The sequence below is a fragment of the Homo sapiens genome, chromosome 2 (genome assembly GCF_000001405.40).
Source record: "Homo sapiens chromosome 2, GRCh38.p14 Primary Assembly".
NCBI classification, from domain to species: Eukaryota; Metazoa; Chordata; class Mammalia; order Primates; family Hominidae; genus Homo; species Homo sapiens.
In genome coordinates, this window is record NC_000002.12 from 210,324,403 (window position 1) to 210,337,158 (window position 12,756).

Here is a 12,756-nt window from a genome sequence, read left to right on the forward strand (position 1 = left end):
ATGTTATGCTTTAATACAAAGTTTGATAGGGAGAAGAAATAATACTGCCTTCCAAAGTAAAATGAATGACATTGGGTGGGATAAAAAAAACAGAGGGACCCTGTGTCAAGCCTGTCTTAGGGTCTTCAGACAGCATGAGTCTCGCTGTCTCCATTTTGAAGATGGGCAACAACTGCAGGGATAAGAATAGCCCATGGCTGACAGTGCATTTGCTTCTACTTGTCCTGGTCAAGGTTTTCTAATTCGGGCCCAAGAGAGTATTCATGTCTCCAGGAGGCCACCCTATGGCACGTTAGGCATTCTTGAGAGACTGGCGGCCTCAGTCCTTGTGTTTGGAGCAGTTCTGCTAGAGGAGGAAACAGCACAAAGGGCACTCTTATGCTGCTGTAAACCAGTGCCAGGATTTTTAAAATGTGAGACACCTGTTACCCTGTAAGTATTAATTTCAACTTGAGGTCTCTAGCTTTTTAATTTGCTGGATACATTCTTTTATATGAAATGTGATGGGCATTTCTGACGTGGAAGAAATTGGGACCAGTAAAGCCGGGAAGAAAGCAAAATGGGGTAGCAGGGGCCCTTTTCTCAGCTTCTAATGAAATATTTGTAGTCAAGACCAAGCACACATATTGATTCTCATCAAGTGTGAAATCGTTGGCGGCCCTGGAGGTGAGCCCCACGGGACCATTTGTACCGCACTCTTTCAAATGAACAGATTAAATCTCTCGTAAGATGCTGTTTTTGACACACTCGTACTGCATATATTAAAATCCTCCCTGGTGCCCTTTTGGCGGTTAGGATTCAGGTAGTTCCAGTGCATCACAGCCTGTGTACCAGCTGGAAAGGATATTTTTTTTTTCTTCCCTGGAATGTGTAAAGGAAGAATTATATTGCTGTTTGTTGAAAGAGACTATATGTCTCGCAAGTCCCACTTCAATAATCTTCTAGAAGCAAGAATGAATTTGGGATTGGAAAGGGCATTACAACATGGCTAAATAAATAGCAAGGGGTCTCTCAACACCTGGTTAGCCTGCAATGTTACAATATGACTTCTAGGTCTTACATTTCAGTCTCTTTCTTCAGCAAACAGAGTCTGAAAGGTCTTACACAAAGACAGAATTTTAAGTCTGAACACTCAAGAAATGTGGTCTTCACACTCTAAAGCTGTCACTAATTCCTTGAGAAGCACCAGAAACTTTCTGACTAAACCTTTTTATGTCTTCAATAATGGTTAAATCCAATATACCTTAGGGTTTCCCTCAGATTTAGTCTTCATATTCTTTAGCTTTTGCTAAAGAATTTTAGCAAAATTTCTTATTTTGCATTTCTCTAGCTTCATGACTGGGCTGTCATCATAGGTATATAAGACCATGTACAGGGCTGTGCATTAATATTGCAAGTCTGGAAATTCCAGATATCTTGGCAAAGGGAGAAACAACTTGTGGTTGGAGCTTGGAGGATGAGGAACCAACAAGTTCTGAGTCCTCATGTCTTATGCTTAGGCTGATTCCATTTCTTCCCTCAAATTGTAAATATTTATTTAGGTGTAAAGGAGAGGGCCTATCTAAAGCAGACTGGTGTGTGAGTAGAGTTATTTTCATAGTGTGTCCTCTCCCAGTGATTTATGTTTCCTAGAATATTGATGAAAAATGGATGAGCTCCCGCAACATCTCCTGCCACTCTCCCCCTCACATATTGGACTACAGACATTCTGGCCTTCTTCAGTTCATTCTTTAGTATGATATGCTGTTCTTTCTTCCTGAATTGTTCTTCTAATCTTTCTTTGAATGAATGTTTTTATTCCCTTTCAAGTCTTACCTTAGAAGTAAGTCCTCTCTTCAGAAGGGTCTTACTTATCACCCTATCTAAAGTAGGTTCCACTCCTCTCATCCCATATTGCAATACTTCATTTGGTGGACTCATAGCTTATAATAATTGAATCATTTATTGATTATTGTCCTCACTTAGACTATAAATTCCATGAGACAGTGCTCATGGTTATATTGTTTACTGAATTGATTCTACCTAAGTGTCTATCAACAGAGAAATGGATGTTTGGATAGTGCTATTGTCCTATTGCCATTGTGACAAGGGCTCAGATAAACATGCAAGTGCACATATTCATGTACTGATTTCTTTTTCCTTTGGATAAATACTCAGAAGTAGGATTGCTGGATTGTATGGTAGTTCTATTTTTTGGTTTTTAAAGAAATCGTCATACTATTTTTCATAGTGGTTGTACTAATTTACCTTCCCATCAACAGTGTTTAAGAGTTTCCTTTTCTCTGCATTCTCACCAGAATCTGATATTTTTCATCTTTTTAATGACAGCCATTCTAACTGGAGTAAGATGATATCTCATTGTGGTTTCCATTTGCATTTCTCTGATGCATAGTGATGTTGGGTATTTTTTCATATACCATTTGTATATGGCCATTTGTGTGCCTTACTTTCAGAAATATCTGTTCATATCCTTTGCCCACTTTTTAATATGATTATTTGTGGGGTTTTTTTTGGTTGTTGAATTGTTTGAGTTCCTTGATATTCTGGATATTAATGCCTTGTTGGATGAATAGCTTACAAATATTTTCTCCCATTTTACAGGTTGTCTTTTCACTCTCTTGGTTGTTTCTTTTGATATGCAGAAGCTTTTTGGTTTAATATGCTACCATTTGTCTATTTTAGTTTTTGTTGCCTGTGATTTTGAGGTCTTAGGTGTAAGATCTTTGCCCGGACCAATGTACTGAAGAGTTTTCCCTCTGTTTTCTTCTAGTAGTTTTATAGTTTTAAGTGTTTAAGTCTATAATGTACCTTGAATTAATATGTGATGTAGTGAAGATAGGGGCTTAGATAGAAGATACCTATATTCTTCTGCATGTAGATATCCAAATTTCCCATCACCATTAATTGAAGATACTGTCATTTCCCCAATGGATGTTCTTGGCACATTTGTCAAAAATCAGTAGGCTGTAAATACATGGATTTATTTCTGGATTCTCTATTTTTTTTTTTCTTTCCTGAGAGAGAGTCTTGCTCTGTTGCCCAGGCTGGAGTACAGAGGCAAATCTCAGCTCACTGCAACCTTCGTCTCATAGGTTTAAGCGATTCTCCTGCCTCTCCCTCCTGAGTAGCTGGGATTACAGGTGCATACCACCATGCCTGGCTAATTTTTTGTATTTTTAGTAGAGACGGGTTTTTGCCACGTTGGCCAGACTGAGCTCAAACTCCTGGCCTTAAGTGATCTGCCTGCCTCGGGTTCCCAAAGTTCTGGGATTACAGGCATGAGCCATCGCACCTGGCCTGGATTCTCCATTCTATTCCATTAGTCTATGTAACTGTTTTTATACTAATACTATGCTGTTTTAGTTAAAGTCTTGTAATATATATTAAAATCAGGTAAGGTGATGCCCCTAGCTTTGTTCTTTTTGTTCATGTTGCTTTGGTTTTTGGGCTCTTACTTGGCCCCATGAAAATTTTAGGATTGTTTTTTCTAATTCTGTGAAAAATGACATTGGTATTTTGATAGGGATTCCATTGAAACTGTTGATTGCTTTGGGCAGCATGGCCATTTTAACAATATTAATTCTTCTGATCCATGAGCATGAAATGTATTTCCATTTTTTTGTGTTCTCTTCAATTTATTTCACCAGTACTTTATAGTTTTCCTTGTACAGGTCTTTTATCTTAGTTAAATTTATTCCTAGGTATTTCATTATCTTCTTGTAGCTATTATAAGTGGTATTGCATTCTTAATTTCTTTCTCAGCTACTTCATTATTGTGTATACAAATGCTACTGATTTTTGAAATTGATTTTGTATCCTGAAACTTTATTGAATTTATGAGGTCTAAAACGTTTTTGGTGAAGTCTTTAGGTTTTCCTAGACATAAAATTATATTATTGGTAAAGAGAGAATTTCACTTCCTCGTTTCCAATTTGGGTGCCTTTTATTTCTTTCTCTTGCCTGATTGTTCTGACGAGGATTTCTAGTACTATGTTGAATAGGAGTGGTGAAAGTGGGCATTCTTGTTTTATTATAGTTCTTAGAGGGAAGGCTTTCACCTTTTCTTCATTTAGTATGATCTTAGCTGTGGGTTTGTCATATGTGCCTTCCATTATGTTGAGGTACATCTTTTCTATGCCTATTTTGTTGAGGTTTTTATCATGAAGGGATGTTGAAATTTATCAAATACTTTCTCTGCATTCATTGAAATAATTGTATGGTTTTTATTCTTCATTCTGTTGATGTGAGGTGTCACACTGATTGATTTGCATATGTTGAGCAACCCATGAATCACTGGGATAAATACCTGGGATCATGGTGTATTATTTTTTTGATGTGCTGTTGGATTTGCCTTGCTAGTATTTTGTTGAGGATTTTTGCATTGTGCATCTATGTTCATCAGGGCTATTAGCCTACAGTTTTTTTTAGTGGTTGTTTTACATTCTTATCTGATTTTAGCCTGAGGGTAATTCTGGCCTTGTAGAATGAATTAGAAAGAATTGTTTCCTCTCCAATGTTTGAAATAGTTTGAGGAGAATTGGTGTTAGTTTTTCTTTGAATTCGGTAGAATTCAGCAGTGAAGCCATCTGGTCCTGGACTTTTCTTTGTTAGAGAAATTTTTTTTACTGCTTTGATCTCATTACTTGTTGTTGGTCTATTTGGGTTTTCTAATTTTTTTTATTCAGTCTTGGTAGACTGTATGTGTCTAGGAATTTATCCATTTCTTTTAGGTTTTCCAGTTTGTTTATCTATAGTTGTTCAAATAGTCTCTGACCTATTTTATTTCTGTGGTACCAGGTGTAATATCTTTCTCATTTCTGTTTTCTTTGTTTGTCTTTTCACTTTTTTCCTTGGTTAGTATAGCAAGTAGTTAATTTTTTATTTGTTTGAAAAAAACAACTTTTTGTTCCATTTATCCTTTGTTTTTTTCTGTATCTTATTTCTTTCTTCTCTGATCTTTATTTTTGTTTCTTCTAATTTTGGTTTGGTTTGGTCTTGTTTTTCTAGTTGCCTGAGGTGCATCATTAGATTGTTTATTTTAAATCTTACTATTTTTTGATGTAGGTATTTATGGCTCCAAGCTTTCCTCATAGCACTGCTTTTGCTGTATCTCATAGGTTTTGGTATTTTGTATTTTGATTTCATTCATTTTATTTTTTATTTCCTCCATTTCTTTTTTGACCCAATAATGGTCATTCAGGAGCATATTGTTATTGTTTGCTTTCCATGTATTTGCACAATTTCCAAAGTTTCTCTTACCATTTTTAAAAATTTTAGATCCATGGGGTAAATGTGCAGGTTTATTACATGGCATAATGATGAGGTTTGTGTTTCTATTGATCTTGTTACCCGAATAGTAAATATAGTACCCAATAGAGAGTTTTTCAACCTTCCATCACCCCAACTTCCCTTTGGAGTCCTCATTGTATTATTTCTATCTTTATATCTGTGTGTATCCAATGTTCAGTTCCCACTTATAAGTGAGAACATGATATTTGTTTTTTTGTTTCTGCATTAATTTGCTAAGGATAATGGCCTCCAGTTGCCTTCATGTTGCCGCAAAGGAAATTTCATTCTTTTTTATAACTATGTAGTATATTCCATGGTGTGTATGTACATTTTCTTTATCCAATCCACCACTGATGGGCCCCTACATTGATTTCATGTCTTTGCTATTGTGAATATTACTGTGATAAATATGAGTGCAGGTATTTTTTTAAGCAGAATGATTTATTTTTCTTTGAGTATATAGCCAGTATTGAGACTGCTGAGTCAAATGTAATTGTATTTTTAGTTCTTTGAAAGTCTCCAAACTCCTTTCCACAGGGGCCATTTGCGATAGAAGTGCTACTGATTTTTATACATTGATTTTGTATCCTGAAACTTTACTGAAGTTGTTTATTAGGTCTGGGAGTCTTTTGGCAGGATCTTTTGTTTTTTTTTTTTTTAGATATAGGATTATATCATCAGTGAAGAGAGGTAATCTGACTTCTTCTCTTTCTATTTGGGTGCCATTTATTTCTTTATCTTGCCTGATTGCTCTGGCTAGGACTTCCAGTACTATGTTGAATAGGAGAGGTGAGAGTAGACATCCTTGTCTTGTTTCAGTTCTTAGGGGGAATGCCTCCAACTTTGTCCATTCAGTACGATATTGGCTGTGGGTCTGTCATAGATGGCTCTTATTATTTTGAGACATGTTCCTATAATGCCTAGTTTTTTGAGAGTTTTTATCATGAAGGGACATTACATCTTATCAAAAGTTGTTTCTGCATTTATTCAGATGGTTTTTAATTATTTATGTGGTGAATCACATTAAAATTTTTTTATAATTTCAACTTTTATTTTAGTTTCAGGGGGTACATGTGCAGGTTGTTACAAGGGTATATTGCATGATGATGAGGTTTGGTTTACAAATGATCCCATCGCCCAGATAGTGAACACAATACCCAACAGTTAGTTTTTCAACCCTTGCCCTCTTCCTCACTCCCTGCAGTAGTCCCCAGTATCTATCGTTCCCATATTTATGTCCAGAGTACCCGGTGTTTGGCTCTCACTTATAAATGAGAATATGCAGTATTGGTTTTCTTTTCCTGCATTAATTTGCTTAGGATAATGGCCTTCATGTTGCTGCAAAGGACATGATTTTGTTCTTTTTTATGACTGCCTAGTATTCTATGGTGTATATATATCACATTTTCATTATACAATTGACCATTTATGGGAAACTAGGTTGATTCCATATCTTTGCTATGGTGAGTAGGAATCATATTTATTGATTTGCATATGTTGAACCATTCTTGCCTCTCCAAAATAAAGCCCACTTGATCACAGTGAATTAACTTTTTAATGTACAGCTGAATTCAGTTTACTAGTATTTTGTTTAGAATTTTTGAATCTATGTTCTTCAGGAGTATAGGCCTATGGTTTTGTTTTGCATTGTGTCTTTGCCAGATTTTTTATCAGGATGATACTGGTTTCATAGAATAACTTCGAGAAGAATCCCTCCTCAAGTTTTGGGAATAGTTTCAGTAGGATTGGTACTGTTTCCTCTTTGCATGTCCTGTAGAATTTAGCTGTGAATCCATCTGATCAGGGGCTTTTCTTGATTGGTAGGTTTTTGAAACTACTTGTTCAACTTTGGAACTTATTGTTGGTATGTTCACGGTTTCCATTTCTTACTAATTAAATCTTGGGAGATTATGTGTTTCCCAGTATTGATCTATTTCTTCTAGATTTTCTAATTTGTATATTATAGGGGTTCATAATAGTCTCTGAAGATCTCTTGTATTTCTTTGGGATTGGTTGTAATACCACCTTTGTCATTCCTGATTGTGCTTATTTAGATCTTTTCTCTCTCTTTTTTTCTTTATTAATCTAGCTAGTGGTCCATGAATTTGTTGATCTTTTCACCATATTTTCATTTCATTGACCCTTTTTGTGTGTGTGTGTTTTTTGTTCTCAATTTTATTAAGTTCTGCAATGATTGTAATTATTTCCTTTCTTCTGCCAGCTTTGGGTTGTGATTGTCTTTGATTTTCTAGTTCCTCTGGGTGTGATATTAGATTTTTAACTTGAGATTTTTCTATATTCTTGATGTAGGTGTTTAGTGCTATAAATATTCCTCTTAACACTGCTTTTGCTGCATCCAGAGGTTTTGGTATGTTGTGTCTTTATTTTCATTTGTTTAAATGAATTTTTAAATTTCTGCCTTAATTTCATCATTTACCAAAATGTTATTTGAAGCAAGTTTTTTAGTTTCCATATATTTGTGCAGTTTTGAGAGTTCCACTTGGTACTGATTTCTGGTTTATTCCACTGTAGTCCAAGAAGATGCTTGATATGATTTCAATTTTGTTGGGTTTACTTTACAACTTAGGATGTGGTCAATCTTAGTTTATGTTCCATGTGCAGATTAGAAGAATGTATGTTCTGTGGTTGTTGGATGGAGTATTTTATAGACGTCTATTAACTCTCATTCATCAAGGGTTAAATTTAAGTTCAGAATTTCATTGTTTTCTGCATCAATGATCTGTCTAATGCTATCAGTGAAGTATTAAAATCTCCCACTATTATCATGTGGCTATCTAAGCCTTTTCTTAGGTCTAGAAGTAATTGTTTTATAGCTCTGGTGCTCCAGTTGAGTACATATATATTTAGGATAGTTAAATCTTCTTGTTGAGTTGAATACTTTATCACTACACAATGCCCTTCTTTGTCCTTTTTTACTGTTGTTGGCTTAAAGTCTGTTTTATCTGACATAAGAATAGTGACTCCTATCATTGGTTCTGTTTATGTGATGGATTGCGTTTATTGATTTGTGTATGTCGTACCAGCCTTGCATCCCAGGGATGAAGCCAACTTGATCATGGTGGATAAGCTTTTTGATTGGCTACTGGATTCAGTTTGCCAGTATTTTATTGAGGATTTTTGCATCAATGTTCATCAGGGATATTGGCCTGAAATTTTTTTTTGTTTTGTTATCTGCCAGGTTTTGGTATCAGGATGATGCTGGCCGCATAAAATGAGTTAGAGAGGAGTCTCTCTTTTTCTATTGTTTGGAATAGTTTCAGAAGGAATGGTACCAGCTCCTCTTTGTACCTCTTGTAGAATTTGGCTGTGAATCCACCTGGTTCTGGGCTTTTTTTTTGGTTGGTAGGCTATTAGTGCCTCGATTACAGAACTTATTGGTCTATTCAGGAATTCAACTTCTTCCTGGTTTAGTCTTGGGAGGGTGTATATGTCCAGGAATGTATCCATTTCTTCTAGAATTTATTTAGTTTATTTGCATAGAGGCATGTTTAGTATTCTCTGATGGTAGTTCGTATTTCTGTGGGATCAGTGGTGACTATCTCAGTACATGCAAAAAAGGCCTTTGGTAAATTCAACACCCCTTCATGCTAAAAACTCTCAATAAACTAGGTATTGATGGAACGTATCTCAAAATAATAAGACCTATTTATGACAAACTCACAGTCAATATCATATTAAGTGGGCAAAAGCTGGAAGCATTCCCTTTGAAAACCAGCACAAGACAAGGATGCCCTCTCTCACCACTCCTAGTCAACATATTGGAAGTTCTGGCCAGGGAAGTCATGCAAGAAAAAGAAATAAAGAGTATTCAAATAGGAAGAGAGGAGGTCAAATTGACTCTGTTTGCAGATGGAATGATTGTATATTTAGAAAACCCCATTGTTTCAGCCCCAAATCTGCTTAAGCTGATAAGCAACTTCAGTAAAGTCTCATGAGACAAAATCAATGTGCAAAAATCACAAGCATTTCTATACACCAATAATAGACAAACAGTCAAATCATGAGCAAACTCAATTGCTACAAAGAGGATAAAATACCTAGGAATAAAAATTACAAGGGATGTGAAGCACCTCTTCAAGGAGGCCTACAAACCACTGCTCAAGGAAATCAGAGAGGACCCAAACCAATGGAAAACCAATCCATGCTCATGGACAGGAAGAATCAATATAGTGAAAATGGCCATACTGCCCAAAGTAATTTTTAGATTCAATGCTATCCCCATCAAACTACCATTGACTTTCTTCACAGAATTAGAAAAGCCACTTTAAATTTCATGTGGAACCAAAAAAGAGTCTGTATAGCCAGGACAATCCTAAGCAAAAAGAAGAAAGCTGGAGGCATCACACTACCTGACTTCAAACTATACTACAAGGCTACAGTAACCAAAACAGCATGGTACTCATACCAAAACAGATATATAGACCAATGGAAAAGAACAGAGGACTCAGAAATAAAGCCACACATCTACAACAATCTCATCTTTGACAAACCTGACAAAAACAGGCAATGGAGTAAGCATCCCCTATTTAATAAATAGTGTTGGGAAAACTGGCTAGCCATATGTAGAAAACTGAAACTGGACCCCTTCCTCACACCTTATACAAAAATTAACTCAAGATGGATTAAAGACTTAAGTGTAAGACCTAAAATCATAAAAGCCCTAGAAGAAAACCTAGGCAATACCATTTAGGACATAGGCATGGGCAATGACTTCATGACTAAAACACCAAAAGCAATGGCAACAAAAGCCAAAATTGACAAATGGGATCTAATTAATCTAAAGAGTGAAACTATCATCAGATTGAACAGGCAACTATAGAATGGGAGAAAATTTTTGCTCTCTATCCATCTGATAAAGGGCTAACATCCAGAATCTACAAAGAACTTAAATTTACAAGAAAAAAACAACCCCATCAAAAAAGTGGGCAAAGGATATGAACAGACACTTCTCAAAAGAAGACATTTATGCAGCCAACAAACATATGCAAAAAGCTCATCATCACTGGTCATTAGAGCAATGCGAATCAAAACCACAGTGAGATACCATCTAATGCCAGTCAGAATGGCAATCATTAAAAAGTCAGGAAATAACAAATACTGGATAGGATATGGAGAAATAGGAACGCTTTTACACTGTTGGTAAAAGTGTAAATTAGTTCAGCCATTGTGGAAGACAGTGTACAATTCCTCAAGGAGCTAGAACCAGAAATACCATTTGACCCAGCAATTCCATTACTGGGTATATACCCAAAGGATTATAAATCATTCTGCTGTAAAGACACATGCATGTGTATGTTTATTGCAACACTGTTCACAATAGCAAAGACTTGGAACCAATGCAAATGCCCATCAATGATAGACTGGATAAGGAAAATGTGGTACATATACACCATGGAGTACCATGCAGTTATTAAAAAGGACAAGTTCATGTCCTTTGCAGGGACATGGATGAAGCTAAAAACCATCATTCTCAGCAAACTAACACAGGAACAGAAAACCAAACACTGTGTCTTCTCACTCATAAATGGGAGTGGAACAATGAGAACACATGGACACAGGGAGGGGAACATCACACACCAGGGTCTTTCAGCGGATCAGGGGCTAGGAGAGGGATAGCATTAGAAGAAATACCTAATGTAGATGACGGGTTGATGGGCACAGCAAACCACCATGGCACGTGTATACCTATGTAACAAACCTGCACGTTCTGCACATGTATCCCAGAACTTAAAGTATAATAATAAAAAAATTCTATTATTTTTGTTTTTCATTTACGTGATAGAACTTTCTTCATCCCTTTATTTTGAGCTTATCAGTGTCACTACATGTGAGATGGGTCTCTTGAAGAGAGCAGAAGGATGGGTGATTTTTAAATCCAATTTGCCACTCTGTCTTTTAAATGGAGTGTTTAGGCCATTTACATTTAAGCTTAATATTGATATGTGAGGTTTTGCTCCTATCATAGTGTTGTTAGCTAGTTGCTTTGTAGTCTCAATTTTATAGTTGCTTTATAGCATCTGTGGGCTATGTGTTTACATCTGCTTTTCTGGTAGTGAATATCATTCTTTCGCTTCCATGTTTAAAACTCCCTTAAGCATCTATTATAGGACTCATCTGGTGGTAAAAATTTCTGGTAGCAATTGCTTGTGTGGAAAGACTCTAGTTCTCCTTCATTTATGAAGCTTACATTGGGTTAGCTGGTATTTCTTTTCATTAAGAATGTTAAAAATGAGCCCCCATCCTCTTCTGAATTGTAAGGTTTCTCCTGAGAAACCCATCTCTTAGTCTGATGGGTTTTCTTTATAGGTAATAGGTCCCTTTCTTTTACTGCTTTTAAGATTTTTTTCTCTCCTGTTGACCTTGGATAGTCTGATGACTAAGTGCCTTCAGGATGGTCATCATCTGGAGTGTTTCACTGGAGTTCCTTGGTGATATGGTTTGGCTGTGACCCCATCCAAATCTCAACTTGAATTGTATCTCCCAGAATTCCCACATGTTGTGAGAGGGACCCAGCGGGGAGGTAATTGAATAATGGGGGCCAGTCTTTCCCATGCTATTCTCATGACAGTGAATAAGTCTCATGAGATCTGATGGATCTCATGGGGGTTTCTGCTTTTGCTTCTTCATTTTTCTCTTGCTGCTGCCATGTAAGACGTACATTTTGCCTCCCGCCATGATTCTGAGGCCTCCCCAGCCACGTGGAACTGTAGGTCCAATTAAACCTTTTTTGTTCCCAGTTTTGGATATGTCTTTATCAGCAGCATGAAAATAAGCTAATACACTTGGATTTCTTGTATCTCTGCATGTTGACCTCTCTAGCAAGATTGAGGAAACTTTTTTTGAATTATATCCTCAAATGTATTTTCCAAGTTGCTTACTTTCTCTTATTCTCTCTCAGAAATGCCAACAAGTTGTAGGTTTGGTCACTTTACATAATTTTGTATTTCTCAAAGTCTTTGCTCATGTTTAAAAAGTTCTTTTTTCTTTATTTTTGTCTGACTTAACTGATTTGAAGGACTGGTCTTTGAGCTCTGACATTCTTTCTTCTGCTTGGTCTGGTCTATTGTTAAGGCTTTCTGTTGTATTTTGAAGTTCCTTAAGTGAATTTTTCCATTTGAGAAGTTCTGTTTGGTTATTTCTTATATAGCTATGTTGTCTTTCAGATTCTGGATCGTTTTCCTGTTTTCTTTGTGTTGGATTCTGAATTCAGCACCTCTCATTTCAGACATTTCATTCTGGTTAAGATTCATTGCTAGGGAGCTAGTACAGTCTTTTGGAGGTGACAAAACCCTCTGGGTTTTTGTATTGCCAGAGTTCATGTGCTGATTCCCTCTCATCAGAGGGAGCTGGCACTTCTTTTTTGAAGTTGCTATCATTTGGTTTGGGCTTTTTGACTTTTTATTCTTTTTTCCCTCGAGGGTGTGACTGTGGTGTATGTTGTGTATA

General features: G+C 36.4%; 1 long non-coding RNA gene across 3 annotated transcripts in view; it reads left to right on the plus strand.

Moving 5' to 3' along the window:
* The first annotated feature begins 309 nt into the window (after positions 1-309).
* Positions 310-12,756, plus strand: part of LANCL1-AS1 (LANCL1 antisense RNA 1) — a 145,622-nt gene continuing 133,175 nt past the window's right edge. For all 3 annotated transcript variants that reach the window (NR_110604.1, NR_110605.1, NR_110606.1), the window contains exon 1: positions 310-432. This is a non-coding gene — a long non-coding RNA (LANCL1 antisense RNA 1). The remainder of the gene's footprint in view (positions 433-12,756) is intronic.